Source organism: Homo sapiens, chromosome 11 (assembly GCF_000001405.40).
Source record: "Homo sapiens chromosome 11, GRCh38.p14 Primary Assembly".
Classification (NCBI taxonomy): Eukaryota; Metazoa; Chordata; class Mammalia; order Primates; family Hominidae; genus Homo; species Homo sapiens.
The window spans coordinates 27,365,433-27,389,418 of NC_000011.10; the positions used below are offsets into that span (position 1 = coordinate 27,365,433).

At 35.5% G+C, this 23,986-nt stretch overlaps 1 protein-coding gene across 2 annotated transcripts in view; it reads right to left on the minus strand.

Annotated features, from left to right (window-relative positions):
- LGR4 (leucine rich repeat containing G protein-coupled receptor 4) overlaps positions 529-23,986 on the minus strand; it is a 106,830-nt gene continuing 83,372 nt past the window's right edge. For both annotated transcript variants that reach the window (NM_001346432.2, NM_018490.5), the window contains 14 exons: positions 19,821-20,036; positions 18,904-18,975; positions 16,756-16,824; positions 15,463-15,534; positions 15,208-15,279; positions 14,839-14,907; positions 13,265-13,336; positions 11,726-11,791; positions 10,867-10,938; positions 8,543-8,614; positions 8,119-8,244; positions 6,851-6,966; positions 6,183-6,266; positions 529-3,711 (listed from right to left, as the gene is read on the minus strand). In NM_001346432.2, coding sequence (NP_001333361.1) covers positions 2,435-3,711; positions 6,183-6,266; positions 6,851-6,966; positions 8,119-8,244; positions 8,543-8,614; positions 10,867-10,938; positions 11,726-11,791; positions 13,265-13,336; positions 14,839-14,907; positions 15,208-15,279; positions 15,463-15,534; positions 16,756-16,824; positions 18,904-18,975; positions 19,821-20,036 — 2,455 coding nt within the window. In that variant the 3' untranslated portion in view covers positions 529-2,434. The remainder of the gene's footprint in view (positions 3,712-6,182; positions 6,267-6,850; positions 6,967-8,118; positions 8,245-8,542; positions 8,615-10,866; positions 10,939-11,725; positions 11,792-13,264; positions 13,337-14,838; positions 14,908-15,207; positions 15,280-15,462; positions 15,535-16,755; positions 16,825-18,903; positions 18,976-19,820; positions 20,037-23,986) is intronic.

Here is a 23,986-nt window from a genome sequence, read left to right on the forward strand (position 1 = left end):
ATACTACTCTACTTTTTGTTATGGAAATTTCAAGCATATATGAAATTTAAAACAAACACACACACAAAATTATGTCCCAAATGAAGAGGCATTGGGTTCTGGTTTGGGGTCAAATTTGCTGTGACTCAGGGATTCACTTAAATTTCATTAAGCCTTTTGTTTTCTCATCTGTAAAATGAGGACTTAATGATTGTAAATACTGAAGTATTTCTAAGCATCTGGGCAACTGACTACATTTAATATCATGCAGATTTTTTAATCATTTGCTTTTTAGATAAAGATTGAATCAATGGTTTTTCTGAAATTTCATAATCTGTTTTCCATGAGTATAGTTCAGACTTAGGATAAAACCTTATTTCTAAGTTTCAGCAAAATGTTCTTATATGTTTACAAATAAATATCAAAATAGTGTTTTCTAATGGTTACTTCCAACATTTCTTCTAATACTGTCCACTTACAAATATTTAATTTGCTTACTTTAAAACTAAATTCATTAATATACCTAGTTTTAAATTAAGGCAAAATAGATTGCTTTCTAGAAACTTTAATAATTCAAAACACTGAGTACAATATTGTATTTCATACCATATAGCACAAAGATTAACACTTTTATATATCTGTTATTCTAGTTTTTAAATGAATAAAATGAAAAGTTTTCAATAACCTGAATTTTGGAAAAAACCTTTTAATTAGGAGTTTCTTACCAAGTTATGATTTAATATTTATCAGATGTGTAAATATACATGATAGCAATTTTTAAAACTTGTAAATAGTTGGCCTTACAAAATTACAACACACTGTAAATAAATCCTTCCCACATTTTATACAAACTACATGATTTTGATATACAAAGATTCTGTTTTTATTACACTGACAATGTACAACAAAGACTATTTACAATGCAAAAAGTATATAAACCACAATTTAACAGTCTGCTACTGGCAGCCACTATAGTTTAGGAGGTAGCTTTAATTAAACGAAATGAACAGAAGCCACATTTCCCAACTTGTGTTCTAAAAATAATTTACATAAGATAAAAATTCATTATATGCACAGTATGTACAGTTTAATTATTAAACTGCAATCTAGCTGGATTTTTTTAGTATATTCAGAATAACTAATATGGCAGTGGGTTTGCTATTGATTTAGCACACTGTTCAAAAAACATATTGAACAATTATAACTTTAAGACTCCACCCAGTAATAGGTCTAAAGCCCATAGATGGGAATCAAGTAAAATTTTTAATTTTTAAAGACACAGGACTAAGCTTTATTCTTTCTTCTTCTATTTTTATTAATAACATATTATCTTGTTTAACCAGAGTTCAACCTCTGAGCTATTGAATAGGCTCTTTTATAAAAAATAGTATGGGGAAGATGTATGGAAATTTCCATTTAATAGCACAGGTTCAAGATAATCCAGCTCACTAAGAAATAAACATAAGTACTTCGTGTCATAATTACTCCCCGTTTCGTCTAATTAAATGCAAGTATTGACCACAGTTTACTTTCTATATAATCCAAGCTATTGCTAGGTGACATCCCAGCAAATTGGAAAATATTAGTAGAGCCAACGATATTAGGAAGTATTCATTAATGAGAACATTACATGAAGCCACCAAATCCCTCAGATACTATTAAACCCCCACATTAGTTAGTAGTTTAGCCAAATCGACTAAACCCACACAGCAATTAGCCTTTTACTTTTTTTCTAGTAGTGTAATCACAAAACACTTAAGAAAAAATTACTGATTGGACCAAAGCAATGTATAATGACTGAAAACAAATGTCCAGCTATTTTTTTAACCTAACAGCTGTTAATATTGTTTTAAAAACATCTTCAGGTTTTAGATTTATAAATTGCTTAAACAAAATTTATAGTTCTCTTATGTCAAGGATGGCAAGTGAAAACATAATAAAGTAATGCCTATGTATACTCTCACAGTTCTAGCTGGGACAGTCCCTTTTTTGGCCCTGCAGTAAGTTGTCCTGAGATTAAGGATGAAACATTAGGTAAAATTAGCAAGATATTTTCTTCAGTTATAGAAAATCACATTTTAAAATAGATTTTTAAAAAATATTAACAGCTGTTCTTTATCTTGTGCTTAATACACAAATAGGTATAAATTTGCTTCTTATGGATCAGAAAAAACTAACATTATATTGCTCTACTACACCTAAGATCCTTTTCAAGTCATATATTTGTTTCAAACAGATCATACATTGCTTGGACATTGCATTTTTCACCAATTTATAATTTAGGCACCTGTTCTTTGAAAATGACTGGTTTGAGAAATAAACTGCCACCTCTCCTTCTTCTAAGTGACACCAGGCAGTGATTACAGAAGTGCTTCCCAGATGAAAGATGAGAATAGGGTTCACTCTATAAACACTGATTTTGGTTGACGGGGGAAACGGTTACACACACAGTAGTTCAGTCTTTAACTCTTGGTAGATTGTAAGCATAGCGCACCAAAGGGAATCCTCTACTCTGGTAGAAGCAGGCTCGTCCACAGGCCTGCACCTGGTCAGAACTGTCTGAGACAAAGGAATCTTCTTCATCTGCATAATCAGAGTGGGCCGACTGTGTGCCACAGTCGGACCAGTAGCCCTCAGGTCTTTGGCAAGAAGCCACTGCCAATGCAGGACAGCTGTGTGATTTTATCAAGTGTTTGCATGATACTGGCTTTGTTAAAAGAAACGATTCGCAGCAGTCGCAAACAGTCAGGTTGCCCTGCAAATGTGAGTACATGCCACAGTCGTAGTAGAAATCCTGTTCCAGACAACCACCTTGGCTACTGATGGAAACTGAAACTGATCCACTTTTCTTGGTAACACGTCGCTTCAGTAACTTCCAGTCTTCTTTAAACTTTGGGTTGAAGAAAACATACAGGACTGGATTCAGGCAAGCAGGCAATGGAAAAAATATCAGAGTAACAGACTTCATTATTTCGGGGCTGATAGAGATTGCAGTGATCAATGGTGCAAATGAAAAAAACGCCACAGGGCAGAAAAAGATGCAATTGGTGAAGATTAGCCAAGCGACATGCTTAATCATGCTAGATTGTGAGTTTTCTGAGAGGTCCTCTTTTTCCAAGTTGCAGTATAGTTTAGTGTAGATAACGGCCATTAATAAAAATGCTAGTGAGTTTAATAGCACTAACGTTACAGTGAATCCTAATGATGGCGTTTCACCTGTAGGAAATGGCAAACAAAGGGGTGATGCAGAATATTCCCCTCTATGGAAAAGGGGAAAACAGCCTGCTACTGTAGCACCTAGGAAAGCCAAAAGGGCAGCAACCCGGAACTGTTTGAGATGATTGCTCTTCCCATTTTTCATTATATCTTTTGCAGATAAGCTTCTTTCGACAGTTGCTAGCATTAATAAAAATATGGCACTTTCTGAGGAGAAAACTGCAAGAAACCCAGCTACTTTGCAGCCACTGCCAGTTTCCCACCAAATGCCAAATTCAGCGAATCTGCCCCAGGACACAGCATCAAGAAAAGTTAGGATGCCAGTATAGATTCCCATGAATAAGTTAGACACAGAAATCAAGCCTATAAACAATTTGGACGAAGGCAGTGATGTACAAGATGCAAATGTTGTTAAAATAACAAGCAGGTTGAAAAATAATGCAACCAAGAAAATGAACCACACAGTAAGACGAATCATCCAGCTTCCCAGTAAATATTCACAGGGCTTAAAAGCACCTAAAAAAAACACACACAGAGAGAGAGAAATAAAAGATAACTTAGAAAACAATTTAGAAAATGATATGGCTTGATAGAAAAACTAATGATATAGACTAATTAAATCTGCTCTCTACTTGAACAAAACTGAACTGATTACTAGTTCTAAGATATTTTGGTCATGGACCAGGCTATTTTAAAAATAAACTGACTTTAATTTATTTTATTAAATATTTGGTAAGGCTATAAATATTTCTTTTATTAAATATTTGATAAAGAGTGATATTTAGATGAAATTTTTCATTTTTTCTTGCATCTAAGCTAATTTACATAGCACAATATCTAGGGCATAAGAGGTATTTGATGACTGAGGGTCTGGAATGAGATGGTTCATAACTTGCTATTCTTACCTTAAGAAAGCAACTTAAAATTGTATAAATTTTAACCTGTATTCATTTTCTCACTTGTGGATAATAATGCCTGTTTCATACAGTTGTGCAGCTTAAGTAAAATTATACACATAAGGAACTAAGCAGGATGCTGGATATATAGTTAGACTTCAATAAATATTAGCTCCCTTTTCTTCTTCCTTTCTAGCCCCAATATACTTTATAATCATGTATGTATATGTATGTATCTACACATATTTTTTATATATTTTCTTATGACTTTCAAAAGCAACCTGATGAAGCAGGTTAAGACAGTATAATTATCCCCATTTTTCATCCAGAGAAACTGATATTTCAAAGAAACTGACAAAGGCCATTCAGTAAGATAATATAGCTAGGACTACACCTCGGTGATGTTAACTATTCATACAAAGCTATGTACAATAAAATCCTACATAATACAAACTAGCATTGCAAGAACTCATTCAGTCGCTGAACTCCATGTTCCAGTAACTGACTTTGACATGCTAGTTATGACACAAATTACAACTGTTTTACTGAAAAATTAGAAAAGAAAAACAAGATTTTGACTATGAAACACAAGAAAACTATGTATTACAACTGTCTAAAAAACATGTTTTATGAACTTTCATGAAAATGACATATCCAATAAAATGTTTTAAATTGTTAAGATATTCACAGACCTCAAAAGCCAGTTCTGCATCATTTATCAGGCTTCCAAATAATACAAGAAACTCTTATTTTAAATTTCCTTTCTATTCCCCCTTCAGGAAGTGCTAAGAGAAAGCTCGTTATCACCTTTATCTCTGTTATCTAAACTCATCCTTCATGGAAGGAGGGGTAGCTCATCTACCTGAGAGAATAGGATACCTTTTGAGAACCCTTTTATGGGTGAGAAAGGTTACTTTTCCAAAAAAGCCTGGGAAGCAGCCTCCACCGTCCCTGTCTTTGGAAGCCTGCTGCCTCCTCTGGTGCTAACAGAAGGATCCCAGCTCTCCTCCACTTCCTGCTTCTGCAGCAAGCACATCAGTGTCTGTGTGTTACTACAGCTGAGTAGGGGGAGGCAGGCCTGCATTTCATCCCCATGGCAGCCCAAGGAGATGAGCTCAGACCAGCTTTCCTCCTGGCCAATCTCCAAGTTTACATTTGGGGTGGAAGAAATGGAAACGCTGCATGTTGAAGTCCAGCCCCCCCTTTAATAAACCTGTTCCCTTCTCATTGGATCATCAGTTCTTTATGTACATTCTCTGGCACATGAACTCCAGTGAGACAAGTAAGCAAGCTGCACCCCAACCTTTAAAAATTAATATAGACACTAACACACAATAAAATAAATTACATACACTTAGATGATTCTTGCCAACTGCATTCACTTATCTAGTAACTTAGAGCTTATTCTCTACAAAAGAAAGTATTCATAAAATACATACGCAGCCCCTTAAGAAGCTCACAATTCAGCAGCAATCACTAGTGAATCCATAATACTTATAATTCTGAGTCATAAAATTAATGTCCAGATTATCCTGTGATATTATACCAACAAAGGAATCTACTTTGTAGCACACAATTTGACTAAAATATTTAAGCCTTCCTTTTACAGTAAAATTATAAATACATCTTCTCTAGTAGATTAGGCAGACTATGACAATCATGACCAAATATGTGGTATCAGTTTAATAACTTTCCCAAGACTACGAAGTTCAATGAAGTAAATGAGGGGAAATAAGGAAAGGCAAGGCTACATTAAGCACACACATACAATCTGCATAGACTACTAACTTACAGAATTAGTCCCAGAGTTAAAGGAGCATTAAGAAAGTGCCTCTGAAATTCTAACGTGTACAACCTTCACCTGGGGGAGCTTGTTAACATGCAGATTCTGATTCAGTAGGTCTGGGCCTGAGATTCTGCAAAAAATTCCTAAGCTGCTGGCTGGTACGCAAAGCACAAAATCAGAAGGCCTCACAGGATCCTCTAGTACCATCCCTATTACAGAAATCACATCTATACCCAGGACATTTAGATATATTTGCCTAATGTTTGTTTAACATGGGTAACTGTGAAAAAATAGGCCAGGCATACCTGTTGAAGGTGTACAATGGATAATTATTTGACTATGTTCTTCATTTTCAAGAGTGCTTGTGACATTTGCTGCATCAGCAGTACCTGAACATATAACACAAAGCATGTTTAATTAAAACCTTATGCAACTCAAAAGAACCATATTTTCCTGCAATTTTCTCTGTATATAAGTGTGAGTTCTCCTTATAGAAGGTTCAATAACATATTAAAGATGCTGGTAGCATAGTGAATGCCATTGTTTTTTTTGGTTTTGGTTTTTTTTAGAGACAAGGTCTTGCTCTGTTGCCCAGTCTGGAATGCATTGGCACAATCATAGCTCACTGCAACCTTGAACTCCTGGGCTCCGCTCAAAGGATTCTCCCACCTCAGTCTCCCAAGTAGTGGGGAATACAGGCACATGCCACTACACTCAGCTAGTTTTAAAATTTTTTATATAGAGAGAGTCTCACTTTGTTGCCCAGGCTGGTCTCGAACTCTTAGCCTCAAATGACCCTCCCGCCTTGGCCTCCCTAAGTGCTGAGATTACAGGCATGAGCCATCACACCTGGCCAGACAATGCCATTTTTCTCACAGATTTCCTATTGATCATTCACAAAGTAATTATAATAACAGGAACTTTAATCAATGCCTTAAAGGAGTGTTCTATTTTTTGAAACTCATGCACTTGCCTTTCTCCTGTGCCACACTGTGGTCCTGGAGGCTGTTATCTTCTGTGTTTAAATTTGCATAAGAGTCACAACCCCAAAATGCACAGCACTGATAAGCATATGGTACTGATAAAGACCTGGAAAAAAAAGTTGTAAAATCTACACTGAACAGCAACTCCGCAGTTATGGTTTTGTTTTGTAAAAGTATTTTAAACTTTGAAAACCTCAGCCTAGGAGTCAGAAAGATCTGTCATGTGCTTTAGGCTGGTCGTTCATCCTCTCTGGGCCTCAGTTTCCTCATCTGTGAAAACAGCTCTGGTATCAGATGACAACGAGACTTTCTCCCTTTCTATAAGATCTCTCTTAACAGTTGGATGTAAATCAAACTGTTTAAAATTTAACAGCAGTACTGTAATTTAAAGTAATATCTTATGACTCCTTTTATAAATGTATTAACTATGCACAATTTATCATACGAAACTGATAGTTTCACTTAAAATTAATGCCCCAGGTCATTTGTGACTTTATACCATTAAATATATTTACTTGGTTTAAATAAATGTAATGAAAATATTTATTCTCTTCTCCAACAATAATATTCTCTCTCTTTTTTTTAGAGACAGGGTCTTGCCCTGTCACCCAGGCTATAGTGTAATGGCGCAATCACAGCTCAGTGCAGCCTAGAACTCCCAGGCTGAAGTGATCCTCCCATTTCAGCCTCCCAAGTAGCTGGGACTACAGGCACGTGCCACCACATCCAGCTAACTTTTATATTTTTTGTAGAGACAGGGTCTCAGCATGTTGCCCAGGCTGGTCTTGAACTGCTGGTGTCAAGTGATCAGCCCACCTTGGCCTTCCCCAAAGTACTGGGATTACAGGTGCGAGCCACCACGCTCGGCCTCGTAACAATACTCTCTATTATATTTAATGCAGTCCCCCATAACTCTAAAACCTTCATGAAGTATTATAGCATTGTTTTCTGCAGGTTCACATTTACATGGTTTCTGCCATCTTATTGCTAATGAAAAGTCCACTGTATTAAAAAACCATTCTGGTGAATAGCTGTATTATCTCTTTGAGGCCATCAAGGGCTCCAGTTCACATTCTTAAAGACTGTGGAATAATGTTCATATTCTATTTTTCACCAAATTTGCAAAGACTGACGTAGAAAACACCCTTAAATTATAGCCTATCAGAAAATCTGAGAACCAGAGCAAAAAACCAGGACACTCTGTAATTTTGGAGCCTACCATAACTTCAACAAAAAAGAAAAATAAGCAAAAACACACCTGAGGTTAACAAAGTCTTTTGCTGCTAAGGCTTCTTTCAGCTTGAAGTTGCCCACAAGTTTCAGTTGATTTAGCCCATTCAGGCCTTCCGTAGGAAAGGAAGTTAATTCATTGAAACTTACATCTCTAAAATATGAATGAGACTTCAAGTTAATGCCCAATATATAAATCACATAAAAACATCTGTACACGTATTAACATCATAAATATTAGATCCCTAAGATGAAGTTCAAGTGGGGGTGCTAAAATTATAGTTCTAGCATGTATCTTGCCGTTTAAGAAGACTTTTACTATAAATACAGCTTAGCATTTATACAAGGGAATAACTAAACAGAAAAATATTTTGATTCGACAATGTTAAAACAGATGTTTCTATAGCACTAGTTACTACTTTCATGACATTACTGCATAATCATCCACTTACAGGTTAGTTATTGGCCCAAGTGTGGCAAAAGCTCTACTGTGAATTTCATGTATCAGGTTTCTACTCAGATCTCTGCAATTATAAGAGTAACATGTTAATCTTTCAAATAAACACTCAGAATGCCACTTACTTAGACTATACTTTAGAATTAGAGGTAGTAACACAATATCGCTGATAAGATAACAAAGATCTTCAATCTTGGCCAGCAATATTTTTTCATGTTTATGTTGAATGCCTCTCCTTCACAACAATCTATTTCTTGGAATATGTTCTGTACAGCAGTAATTCTAGCTGGCATCTGTTTCAAAACAGGTGTGAATTTTCCCACTTTATCATTCTGATACCAATTCAAACATATAAATGATATGATATAACCTTTGGTACTGCTAACTCAGTGAGGAAAAGCTCAGTTTCTGAAAAAGCTGAAAATAAAAACAGACTTCGTATTGTTTGCCTTCTCAAAGGTTAGTGATAAGGCCCCGAGAGAAGACAAACAATCAATATGCAAACAAGAGCATTCCAGGAGGGCTGCAGATACCCTTCTTTTCCTAAGCACGATATAAAAATTGCATCAACAGTACAGCCAGCTCCGTATTCAGGAACACACCCTGAGAAATTCTGATATTATAGAATTAATAAAACAGAAATAATCTACAAACACACTTACACTGAACCTTAAAGGAAATTTAAACATTGAGTAAATTCATTCTGAGACATATTTCCTAGATAACAAGGAAACTCAACACACTTGGTTCCAAATCACGAAAAGACCAGCTTCTTAGTGTCACTTATCAGTTTCTAAAAGTGATGGCAACTAGGAGCCAGTCTTCTTCCCTATGACTGCCCAGGCTTACACAAAGTTAGTCCACAACTTGAGATGATCCAGCAACCCAACTACCAATTAAATAGTTTCTAGTAGAGTACATGTCATATTTCTTAAAGGGGATATACTAAAAAACTGTATTCAATATATGTAATTTCATTCACTATCAATTTTTCAAACTTTTTCTATAATAGAAAAATGTTGTGCTGGGCAAGGTGGCTCACACCTGTAATCCAAACACTTTGGGAGGCCAAGGTGGGTGGATCACTTGAGCTCAGGTGTTTGAGACAAGCCTGGGCAACATAGGGAGACCCCATCTCTACCAAAAAAAAAAAAAAGAAAAAAATTAGCTGGAGATTGTGGTGTGCACCTGTAGTCCCTCAGCTATTCAGGAGGTTGAGGCAGGAGGATTGTTTGAGCTCAGGCGTTGGAGGATGCAGTGAGCTGTGATTACACCACTGCATTCTAGCCTGAGCGACAAGAGTGAGAGACCCTGTCTCAAAAAAAAAAAAAAAAGAAAAAGAAAAGAAAAATGTTCATTAATTTAGTGTACTATGTTTCTGTGCTAAAGTTCTAGGAAGATAGTGAGTGGCAAGGTTTGTCTCAGTCACCTCTATATTCCCAAGTGCTTATGAGAGTACCTGGAACAAATATGTAGTCAAATACAAATGATTTTTTAAGTAAGTGCTTCTGTGGCTTATGAACTCTATTTGTCATGATAGATACTCCAGTGCAGGGGTCAGCAAACTTCTTCTGTAGAAGGCCAGATAGTAAATATTTTCACCTTTGTGAGTCATATACTCTCCGCTGCAACTACTCAATTCTGCTATAGTGGGGTGAGAGCAGCTTTAGACGGCACTTTAATAATAAAGGCCTGGCAGTGTTCAATTAAACTTAATTGATAAACCAGGAAGCAGGCTGGATGTGGCCCATGGGCTGTAGTCTGCCTACCCTTGCCCTAATGAATTGGCAAACCTCACTATTATAACTTGAAAACAAACAAGCTACATCACTTCAGTTATACACATTACACATTTTTCTACTTGCCAATGTACAATTAGCTAAAGTAAAAAATATTGAAAGATTATTTATAAAGTTGCAAGTCTAAAAATCTTGCAATGTCTAAAATAATATTTTAGGTAAAGTCTAAAAATAATATTTATTGAACACAAATTATATCTTTTTTTTTTTTTTTTGAGACGGAGTTTCACTCTTCTTTTTCAGCCTGGAGTGCAATGGCACAATCTCAGCTCACTGCAATCTCCACCTCCAGGGTTCAAGCGATTCTCCTGCCTCAGCCTCCCGAGTAGCTGGGATTACAGGCATGCACCACTATGCCCGGCTAATTTTTTGTATTTAGTAGAGATGGGGTTTCACCACGTTGTTCAGGCTGAAATTAAAATTATATCTTTAAGTATATCTAGTAACATGGAAATCATAACAACATATTAACATAGTTTGGAAAAAATTTATTGTCTTTAATAATCATAGACAAACTTACAGAATCCTTAGAGATATCAGGCCTTGAAAGGTGCCTTCCTTTATTTGGTAGATTTGATTACGCTGTAAAGAACTAAATAAAAAAAGAAGAAGAAAGAAGACGAAGACAAAGACAAAGAAGAGAACAGGAGGAGGAGGAAAGAGAAAGGGATAGAGAAAAAGAAAAAAGTTACTTTCTATTTTGAAAAATAACATTATAACATTTCTTAGTTGAGTTTTTTCTAAATTTAAATAACTATTCTTATGTAACAGTGATCTTGTTGAAAGAGAATTGCCCTTTTCTCATCTATAAAATGAAAGAGACTAATTGGTATTTCATCCCATATTATACTGGGAATTAACTGGTATGCTATCTAAATTCCCCCATCAACCCCACTCAGGCATAAGAGAAGGAAGATGATGCAGGGAGAAAAGGAACCAAGACAACACAACTATGACAAATACCGTAGGAATAAAGTTACAGGACTACATAGAGTTAAAATGGGAGAATTAATGCCTCCCCCTTCCCATCTCCCAACCAGCTTCCACCAGAGCTGTGCAACACAGGACATGATGGGAACTGGCATTCATGTCTGGTTTCCCTCAATAGCTGGACAAGTTTTTGTCTTCTATTTCTTTTAAATATACACTAACTTCCAACTCCCCCCCGCATAGCGTTTCATGGGATGCCTGATAGCTAAGTGCCTAATACATGCTGGTTGCATGAACACATCTGGTTCAATTTGACATGTTATTTATGGGAACATCTGATTACAGGAATTTCTAATTTCTTACTATTAAAGCCATCTATTAAAAATACGAAATGCTCAACAAACTAACAATACACCACAACAAAAGGAATAAGTCAAAGACCAACTCACATTTCTTCCAGAGCATGGCAACCATTAAAACTTGGAAGGTCTCTTATATTATTGTAAGACAAGTCCCTTAAAACAATGGAAATTAACAAATTAATGCTATGTTATCAGAGTATTATATTAAAAGAGTGGTACTCAGAAGCGTTGAAAGCAGAGCTAAGATAAGTAATAAAGAGATATGCCTGAATAAGAAAAACAAGTCTTTTTTCCTAAGACTTGTCAGCTTCTCAAATACCTCAGTGATACAATAAGCCTAAGATTGATAAAGTTCAAGAATATATTGTTGAGCATAGACACTAATATATGTAAAAATACATTTCTATAAAGTATATATATAAAGTACATAACATAAATATATAAAATTAAATAGGCAAATATAGAAAAATATACAAAATATATAAAATTTAAGTGGTAAAGCTACATTTTTTTAAATTTGTATTTATACGGTTTAAAAATTTGTATTTTTTCAATATTGTTTATCCCATAAATAACTTATATGTTCTTTTGTTGAAAAGCTCTAAGAGAAATGGTATGCTTATCAACATTTTAAAAAACAGTTATATTACATCAAACACCAGAACTAGTTAACTTTCAGTCCCACTGCAGTTTTTCCTCAACAGTGATCATTATGTTTAAGTTTGATACACCACTACATCACTAAATTATAGTCATGACCCAAATAACAGTTTTGGTCAATGACAGACACCATATACAATGATATGGTCCCATAAGAGTATAATACCATATTTCTGCTCCAACTTTTCTATGTTTAGATATACAAATATTTACTATTATGTTACAACTGCCTACAGTATTCAGTACAGTATTATGCTGTACAGGTTTGTAGGCTAGGAGTAACAGATTATATCATATAGCCCAGGTGTGTAGAAGAAACCACCGAGGTTTGTGTAAGCATACTCTATGATTTTCACACAATGACAAAATTGCCCCATGACACATTTCTTAGAATGTATTCCTATTGTTAAGTGGATGTGTGACTTTACTTGCTTAATCAATCAGTCATTTATTTTGTTACTATCTCCTGCCACTGAGTACTTATTAACAACTTAATAACTTAATCGTTTATTCTGGAGACATTTTTACATCCTTTATTTACTTTTAGTTTCTAGGTCAGCCTAAAGTTTTTAGAAAGCGACAAGCTTTAGTTCATTCCAGACTGAATAAAGAGTTAGGCTCTGCTTAGGCTGCAGATGAAAGAAGGAGACTATGAGGAGAGATACCCCTGGAGAAACTAGAATAAAGACAAAGAGCAGGATGAGAAAAAATGAAGAAAGAACCTATCTTGGTTTTACTTTGTTCAAAATAAAGTCACAAGTATATGATATATTCAAAACCCTAAAACCTAATTCAAATGCACATTACCCACCCTGGAGATGACTCAAATATCTGCTCCTTTACAACAACTAAGAAGTAATTATACCTCAAAACCACCTTATGAAAGTAGATCCTTAAAATAAAATTGAACATGTGTGAATATATAAACAAAAGGTATGAGGGGAAGGGAAGAAGAATCCAACTTACAAAGTCCTAAGCATCTTTTGTTCTTGACACAAATTATTAGGTATGCTGCTTATCTTTGTACCTGTCAAAGTCCTGCGGAAAAACATTATTCATGTAAGAAATAATTCAACTCAAGATAGTAAGCAAAATTTATTCCCATATAGAATAAGTGCTCACATATTTACATATGGACTAGATTCTATACATCCCATGGCCTAATTATTCCATAAAGTTAGACATGCAAGAAGGTGAACTGAACCCCAATTCTGATATCATCTTCACAGTAACTCAAAAACACTTGTGACATTAGATGTTGATACTGGGCTTGATTTCCCACATGGACCAGGAGGAAAACACTAATCTACAGTCACACAGTCTGATCACAGTTAATTGCAAGTTGTCACCTTCTTACACCCAAGACCTTTGAAACCAACTTGCATTCTGCCCCCAAATCTTGTTTCTGTCTTTTCTTTCAGTCAAACTGGCTCAGCATTCGAAAATGTTCTCTTATTCCCCTCCCTTCTGTAGTCTATCACCAGTTCCTGTTATTTCTTCCTCTGTTGTGTTTCTAGCATCTAATTCTTTCAGAAAAAGAGTGAAGTGAGGCAGAGAGGGATAGAGGACTCTCAGACAGACCATGCTATTTGTCCTGGTGCAAATCCAGTGATGGATTAAAGACCTGGAGCTGTCATAATTCAATGTGTTCATCTGGTCAGGTAGACTATTCCCACAGCCGCCTCACTGTTCTCCCCATCTCTAGTCTCTTTCTCCTTACCCTCCTCACATTACCTGCTTAAACATTCTCAACACCTCCAACTGCCTTAAGAGTCAAGTTTAAACTCCTTACCTCAGTGCTTCCCAAATTCTTTTTTAAAAAATATCTTGTCACATGTGACCATTGTAACATTTAAATGGCACGCTGCAGTAAGACTCCTGTGGCTAGAGGTCCTAGCTGCCTCAGGCCCCAACTGACTGTCTGGAGGGCTGAGGTCATCAAGATCTTAAGTGCACCTGTAAACTCATGCACAGACCACTCACTGGGAAACTGCCACAACCAAATGTGCAACGTTCAAAGCTTGTCATTTCAAAGTCTAATACCAAACAATTCTCCGATTTCTCCATACCATCCCCATTCTATTATAAACATGCAATTCTAGCTATATTTGCTCATCTATATGCTATCTCTGAGAATACTTTTGGTATTTCCAGTTTTACTAATCCTGCCTTAAATTAAACACTCAGCTCTGGGAAACCTGACAGTATTCAAACCTTCTACCTCCTCCGTGAAGCCTTCTGTGATAGTCTACATCGAATGCCCCCACTTCTAAATTCTGAAAGCACTGCTTCTAATTTGGCACTTTGTTACTGCCTTGTATTTTCTGTGAACCTTTCAGATCTTATCCACATAATCGGCTCTACTCTGCCTAAGCTCACTGACCCCATACCCAATATATTCTTCTCCATGCATGATATATACAAAGGGAAACCGGAGGAATCAACATAAACCCATCATTGTCACTAAAAGACCCTGGCACCCTGCTAGCAGTCCAGTAGTGTTATCTTTATACAACCCCTCTTCAAAGGGCCTTACTTACAGACTTTCCAGGTGGACAGTTCCTGTAAGATTGGGGAACTGCTGCACCATGCTTGCACCACGAATGACTCTTTATGAAATTGAGAAAGACAAGGTAATTTTTAAATTTTTTTTCATATTTTATGTTTTAAACAGTTTAAAATTACAGTGCAACTATAACTAAAAATAAAACTAGTTTCATCTCTTGAATGTACTTGAAAGTATGATAATGTGGCAAAGTATTCACAAAAATAAGAACAATTATAAATTCTGCCCAAGGGAGAAAAAAATTTTAAAGATTTTGTTTTCTGGAGTTCCAGTAATAAATTCTTGTTTTCCACTAAAACAACTGTATAAATATCCAGGTTTGTTTTTAAATTCACATACTTACAGGGAATGAAGATCAGATAAATTGTGAAATGCTGAGTTCCCCACAAAAGACAGAGGATTATCATACAAATGTCTGTGAAAATATCCAAAAAAAGTAAAATTTTCATATGTTCACAAGCACTCTAATATTAACTCTATGTTCACAATGTACATATATCTAAAATCCTGACTTCTCATTCTTTATCAGGGTGTTTGGCATTGTACGGACACAGCTTCACATAATTATACATTAAAAGAAACTTTCAAAAATACTTACATAGTTCTTAAGAGTGGATTACCATCAAATGCTCCATCAGGGATAACAGAAATAGAATTACTATGAAATCCTCTAGAAAGATAGGAGAAAAGTATTTTGAAATGCATTATCCTCTTGCGAAATAAAACCCAAGTATCTACTGCTGTTCAGCATTATATAAAATACAACTGATAATGACTACATGAAAATTTTCAAAAGCATAGGAAATCTCAAATTTTAATTTTATTTTATCTTTTTCAGTATCATACCTAATTCTTTTTTAACCCACTGCTTAGCTTGGTATCTATCAGATCCCTCATATGCATTTATCTGTTGCTTCATCATAAAAAAAAGCTTTAGACCATGAGAAACAGGTGTTCTAACCTCAAAATCTCTCTCACTGTAGCCTGTATTTAGCCTCTTGGCAATGCATCTTAGAATGTTAACCATCAACTAGCTCATGACACACAGTCCCTGTTGTGCCATATACAGTCACTAACTCTACCCATGACAAACCCGACGTCCAGAATGTTCCCTCAGGCAGGGCACAGTGGCTCACGCCTGTAATCCCAGCATTCTGAGGGGATCACTTGAGCCCAGGAGTTTGAGACCAGCATGGGCAACATGATGAAACCCTATCTCTAGAAAAAATTTAACAATTAGCTGGGCGTGGTGGTGCATGCCTGCAGTCCCAGCTACCCAGGAAGCTAAGATGGGAGGATCACCTGAGCCTGGGAGGTCAAGGCTGCAGTGAGCTGTGATCATGCCACTGCACCGTGACACTCCAGCCTGGGCGACAGAGTGAGACTCCGTCTCAAAACATACAAACAATCAAAAAAAAAAATAAAAACAAAAATGCTCCCTCATTCCTGTGTTTAAATATTTTTGTTCTTTCAAGTCTGGTCAAACTCCTTCCTTTTGGTGATGTTTTCTGCAGTAACTCCAAACTTCAATTAGGTATTCTTCCAGAATGATTTATTTATCCTATTCATTCAGCATTTATTTCTACCTAGAAACAGCTGTCTGTCTTAACATGATCAGTTTCCCCAGTAAGACTAAGACTACAAGCTCCTTAAAGGCAGACGCTGTATATCAGGCCTTCTTGTTTTACCAGCATCTAACCCTATACATCAATCTATACTCAAAATTGTCTCTGTCATCGAACACAATCCAACTTTATGATTATTTGTGTGTTTGTGTGCATGTATTATGGATATACGTAATGGAACAAGATGTTCTAAAATCCCATTGTTGGAACATTAAATGGTGAGTTTCAGGGATATGAAGACATAAAGAGAATGAAGCAATACTCACAGCTCTTTAAGGCTAGGAAGGGCTTTAATAGCCTGAGGAAATTCCCCCAAGTTATTATAATTCAAGTCTCTAGAAAAAAATGGGTGAAAATATATCAAAATATTAAATAGTGGTCATAATTCATAAGGCATTTTGTTACAGACAAGTATTTTTTTAAATCATATCCTCTGTATGGTAATCTTTCTTTATCAACCATATCGTCATTCAAAACCATGTAGGAGTTTAACTGAATTTACACCTTTTCTTACAATAATGAATAGAGAGAAATCATTCTTCTTCCATGATGTTTTTAGGTCAAGAAACTTACAAGTTCAAATAATTTTCAGAATCATGTATTACTGATGCATTAAATACATAAATCATCTGAATGGTATTTCTCTGAAAATTCATTCTAGAATATAATTCATTGAATATCCATTTGTAAATGACAGCGTGAAACTGAGGTTTCCATTTGGAGTTCACAGTGGCTTCCTGAAATTCTGGTATAAGAGCAGCTGACCTCAGTTCCACCATCAGCGTGATGACCTGAGATAAAAATAATCAGAAGGAGGCCAGGCACAGTGGTTCATGCCTGTAATCCCAGCACTTTGGGAGGCTGAGGCGGGCAGATCATGAGGTCAAGAGATCGAGACCATCCTGGCCAACATAGTGAAAACCCATCTCTACTAAAAATACCAAAATTAGCAGGGCATGGTGGCACATGCCTGTAGTCCCAGCTACTAAGGAAGCTGAGACAGGAGAATCTCTTGAACCTGGGAGACGGAGGTTGCAGTGAGCCGAGATCATGCCACTGCACTCCAGCCTGGTGACAAAGCGAGACTCTGTCTCAAAAAAAATAAAAAATAAAAAAATAAAAAATAATCAGAAGGACCAGGGTAGATTCACACAACTGTTGTCCTCATACAAGTTATGAATTATTGGGAATTTTACATTAGTTAGGAGAAAGACAAGCCATAGTGATCTGTACTAAAAAGTCTTAGTTCTGAGAGTGTTTAAAGTTTAATTTCTTTTAACATAAAGAGCACACTGGCATACGATTTGCATGATTGATTTCAGAATGAAAGTAAAATAAAATTAAAAGCTCAGCTCCTTTGAGACCTATTTTGGTTTCCTTTTCCTTTTTGTAACAGAGAAGAAACAATGGCAAATAAAAATTTAACTGGGAAGAGGTTTAATTTTAACATAATTGAAATAGTGTACACAGCTTAGGATTAGGAAACCTATTCAATCTTTTATTTATAACACTAGAACTCACACACTTAGCAAAGGAGATCTGAGTTTGGAACTATCCTCTACAAGATTTTCAACTTTCATATATCCATTGATGTTTCCTATCCTCTAATTTAGATAGAAAAGTGAAATAATAGAGTCCTAAAAGATTTTAAGTCTTCTCATTAATTGACAGTTAACCAGAAAATTCAGTCAAATAAAATACTACATACCCTGAGCATTCTAATCAGGTTTTACTCACCCATGTAATTGGGACCTTCTCTGAATCATTTACTCATCACAACAGCAAAAATTACATTATCTTTGAATGAAGGCAATAAAGGCAACTAATATAGGCTAAAAGAACAAAAATAAATATCCTATTCTCAATTATACACAGCTACACAATGCCTTTTACTTATATAGTGGTGCAATGTACAGTTGAAACAGCCAGAGGTCTCAAACACTTTAGCTCGTGGAAACAACAACAAAAGTATCATAGCAGAATATAAAATCTTCATTTGTTACTTGTAAAAGCAGATATAGTATTCAAACCCAGTGTTAACAATTAGAAGGCAACTGAGATCATGGAAAAAATAACACTATCCAGAATTCATTTTAGAACTTTCTAACTTCCAAAACTGTCATACATTTAACAAAACCAACATTTCTGGAAAGGTATAAATCTTTGTAGATTGAGCTGTTTTGAATGTGTATTCTTTGGGGGAAAATATGCAATTCACACTTTGCCATTTTTAGCCATGGACTTAGATTAGTATTCATAATTAGGTTATTTGATAGCAAGAATTTAATCCAGTATCAAAGTGAATTAATAAGGAGCTGAACTTAAGGCCAATATTTTTTTCTTTTTCTGCAGTGAAGTATAAAATTATACTTTCAATATCACAATGCAGTTGCCCAAAATATGAATATACTTACAAGGTCTCCAGGTTATCTAGTCCATCAAAACAGTGTTGACTCAGGCTTCTAATTTTATTGTTATGAAGATGCCTAAGGGGGAAAAAAAGCATAAAATGACTTTTCCATCTCCCATTGGCAACTATTATCATTGTTTTATATGTCTGAGTTGGTGTGTAAAGGAATGATGTAGCTAAACATATCAACAGCTAAACAGCTAAACAGTTTTCTGTTGACCACAGAAAACAAGTGACATTGGATAGTTATCTCTTGCTATGTACACTGCACAGACTCACTAAACATAGACTACCTCATGGAAAGAGAAAGTATCTTTAGTGGAAATATGGTACATACATGGAAGATTAATATTTATTCATATCAAAATAAAGTTTTGATTAGCTCTTAAATATATGAAGAAAAATTTGATGAGCTCTCTTACTGAGGACATGAGGGTAATGGTGTGGAGGAAGTGTGTAGTTTACACCAGTGAGATCTCCAACAGATTTTAAAAGAAGCACTATTTTGTTATGTCTTGGAAGATTAAAAACACACTGCATCACATACTCTCTGAACAAGTGGAAAACACGAAATATCCCTGGGACTAACTTCTATGGACACCTCGAAATGACTTCCCTTCTTTTAACATTGAATACGCTGCTGGGACACACGTAAAAGCTGTATAAGTGTGTGCTGAATGACCCAATTTCTTCTCATGATTATAACTGGTCATTTGTCTTAGGGAGATTCAACAATTATCATCAGCTGGTAATGTTTTAAATTATCCTATTCTGTTTAATATTGTACAAAAGCAGCTCCCAAAGCACTAACTACTCAGGAGCATATTCAGCGAGATGCCTTGATAATAATCTGTCAGAAGAAATCTGTTTTTGTACCCCAATTAACACAAATATATGGAATTAAAAGGGATAGATACTTACAGAACTACCAGGCTTGAAAGGTTGGTAAATGCAAAGTCAGGGATGCTTGAGATCTTGTTGAGAGCCAGGGTCAGCGCCTGTAGGGTGGGCAGATTGCTGAGGGGGTGCACAGGCACCTCCGTCAAGCTGTTGTCATCCAGCCACAGATGCCGTAACTGAACAAGTCCTTCAAAACTGTCCTCGGGGACTGAGGTAATATGGTTGGCATCTAAACGCCTAACAGAAACAAAAACAACCATGTTCAGTAACAAATTCTAGTGAAATGAGTCAGTTCAAGTCTCACAACTCAAAGCTTTCAAAACAAAAAGGACTTATAAAAATTATCATCTTTAATTTTACTAGAAGTCCTCATAACATCTAATAACTTTTTCATGATCTGTATAGTGTATGAAAGTCAGTTCTTTCTCTTTCTTCATAAGAATGGCATGTATCCAAATCTATATTCTTCAACTATCTTTGGCTTTTGGCTAAGAAGTAACTTTATAGCAGAAAGATATATTTTTTAAAAACACTTGCAAAGTTCATATTGAAATTATGTTTTAGAGCATAATTATCAGGCATACAAAAAAAAAAAAGAAACTAAACTGACCAAATAGGCTACTTTGCTTCCAATGTTACATTATAACTAACATTAGACATTAAATTTAGTTGCTACTCTGATTCTGTACCAAAGAGAAATATTAGAAAATACTTAAAATTTTTGTATAGCAATAAAGAATCTAAATAGATTTTCAATCATCCTTATTACCTCTAGGCAAGTTAAAAATATAAGTGTCATGTACAGGCAAAGCAACTTTTTCTTCTTCTCTTAGCAGTTAAGTGCTTTTGAAAAATCAGTATACCAAAATTAACAGTTATTAAGGTCAAATTATCTGTTGGAAAAACCAAGCAGCTCCTGGAATCAATGTTACTGTGGCTTTAAAGGTTCTTCAATTTTTCCAAAAATTTTGGAATTAAGAACACCTTACTAATAGGATTACTTATATTTAAAATTAAGTCCCCATCTGAAAATCAGGAAACTAAGTCCTACGTATTATTGTTGGCACAACAAGATGTAATTGTTGGAATAATTGCTTTTCAACACAAAGACAATCTGGTATTAATATGATGAGGGACACTACGTGCCAGGCAAATCACAGCTTTCCTCACAAATCCCTTGTTGATGTATCTTCATTACTTACATTCATGCCTCACAGCCTTGGACTTCTTTGTGAAAATTACAGAACAGAAAAAAACTGGTTAAAAATTCAAAATGCCTGCATCTTTTTAAAGAAATAGTTTGACAACTTTCAGGTTCAGGAAATTCTGAGTTTTAGAGTGGTTTTTGTGCCTCCTGTTTCCTTGCGCTGTTCCAACTTCAGTTCCTGCCATAATTGTCCCTTTCCACCACAGTCAAGTTCTGGGCCCCTGGTCCCAATTAACTGCTCCCAGCCCCAGATGCATTTTCCCTTCCTAATGACAGATTAGCAGGGTTTAAAGATCATTGGTCCTGGTGAGTATCTGATGGAAGCTTTCTTTCTAATAGAGTCAAGATAACTGAAAGAACACTTAAAAAGGGAGAGCTTAGGATATTGAGCGGCTGCCTTAAGAATCTACCTAGAAACACACATTTTTAGACTTGTTTATTTTGGGGGCTTTTAGAACTTGCCCTGAGACAGGCAACTTTTACATAACAGACTGGCCAAGTACTGGCTACAGAGCGGCAAAGTACTGCCTACAGAGCTGTTTAGGAGATTTGCTTTAATGAGCAGATAGAACTGTGTTCAAACATGTGTGCACACACACATGCGCACACGCACACACACCCCTCATGGAACTTTTCCATTCTTAGGAAGAAAAAGACTTAAATACATAATCATACAATTAAGCATATTATATAAATAAATATTAATGTAGCTAAATTATACTTGTAGATAATTACCTGCAATTCACTCAACGCAGTTAAATTGAGCATCTTGTTAGGTACAAAGGATAAAATAGTTAACACAACAGGCATGAGGCCTGTCCTCAAGAGACTGACATTCCAGTGGCGGAGGTAACATACAACACAATAAACACGTTACAAAATGATAACAAATACTCTAAAAACTACCTCTGGAATAGATAAACAGGGCACTGAGGTTAAAGACTGAGGGACTCTGAGGAGGAGGGTAGTTACTCAAAACGCATTTGGTCAAGAAAAGTATTTCTAAGGTGACATTTAAAGTGAGACCTAAAGAAAATGCAAGAATGAGTCAAAGTAGGAGCTGGGCAAGGAGTGTTTTAGGCAAAGGAAAGAGCCACGTCAGAGACCCAGTAGCAGAAACCAACTTAGTATGATCCAGCAACTCCCAGAAGGTTAAGAGTGATTAAAACACAGGAGGAGGGGAGTAGAGGGACCAGGGACACACATGTGGCAGGGGATGCAAACAGGGTCCACATTCCTTAAGTCCCTATAGGCCAGGTAGGGGGTTTGGGTTGTATTTTCATTACAAATTGAAGTTCCTTAGTGTTACTGCAGCTGAAAAGTTTAAATTGTTTATTTTATCATGCTGATGATGTATATTCATATTCAATAAAATAGTATGTAATGCACCTCCAAATACCTACAATGCCTCCACTGATACAGAAAATAGTATAACAAGGAAAGTGGTCAGTGCCTTTTTAATATAAATTCAGTACTGTATACAACCGTTAAACTCTTGTGAATTCTGTGTCATCAAGGAAAAAAGATAGCCTTAACTTACTGCTAGAAAACTAGGTGAGTTTTGAGCTAAGACAGTAATAAAGCTATCTTCTATACAAAATAGCATAATACAACAATAAAAGCATGGATACAATTTCCTCCGTACTAAAAATTTCCAAAAAATTGTGAAGTCACATATAAGTAGGGATTAAAAAGAACTATGGAAAAATGAAACTCTTAAATAAGAGGTTAAATGAGAAAAACGATTTGTGATGACTCAAATGGTTAATCCTTATCTCTCAATTCACATGTGGGTGTGGTGAGGCACCCATAAGAGTAAAGAGTATGTACTTATACTGAGACCAGTGCTTCAGAGCACTGTCTCAGTGTGGCTTTGTAACAATGATCTATTCTATTAGTATTCACCCCAAATAACAGATGAAGAAAATACTATAATTCTTTAAGTAGATGCTGAAAAGCATCAGCTATCTCACAAAGTAGAAAGAATATGAGGGTTTATTCAAGGTATTTTTCTATTTAAACTCCATGTGGTAAGAGATTAAACTATTGCTTTGTTAATCGCAGTTTTCTTGTTAAACGGTGAATAACATATTTATTCACTCAATTTCTTTGTTATTTTTGTCTGGAAGACATGCTTCTATTTTCTATTCTCAAAAGCCTATTTTACAATTGACTGAAACTCATGTATTTTTAAATTTCTTGTTTAAACAAACTACAGTAACAAAATAATATTAAATGCAGATATTTAACTGTTGAAAGTCTTTGTTATCAATAAACACCTGTATAATCAAAAGATCTCCTTTCTCTCTGTTCTAACTTACCAATAATGTAAGTGTTATAAACATATTTTAAAACTGAGAAAAACCTAGGAAAGTTAATCTTTGAGATCTTTTAATAGTCAATAAAAATGTAATCTGATGTTAAAAAATTTCTAATGGAGATAATTATGACATGTCATTTTAATACCCTGCTGAGGTAATGTTTTAGTTATTTTAACTTTATGGGAGGCAATTATGCTACCTTTTTATTAGTATCAACAATTGGCTTTCAGATTTTATAGTCATTATCAAACATACACTTGCATCAAACCACTTCTGGTCAATTTCAATCCCTAATGAACTTTGCTTCTTTTAAGCACTATTCAAAACCACAATGAAATCTTTCATGTAATTCAGATCTGAAGAACAGATTTTCAAAATGACTCAAGTGCTGATAAGACTGTTTTACACCATGAGAGAACTTTAACTCTATCTAACTTCACCACTGCACCCACTCTACTAACAAACGTATGAACATTTCCTCCTTAAAGAAAACAGGCCTGACACAGAGCAGCTCTTTGTGTTTCTGATGTATATGAAAACATCCCAAAGCCTTTAAAAAAAAGTTTGTTTTACCTCCACTCCATACACTCATCCCAATTTTGGAGATAATTTAAACTAAGCAATTTGCTCCATGAATGATAAGCACAGTATGCTTTTCT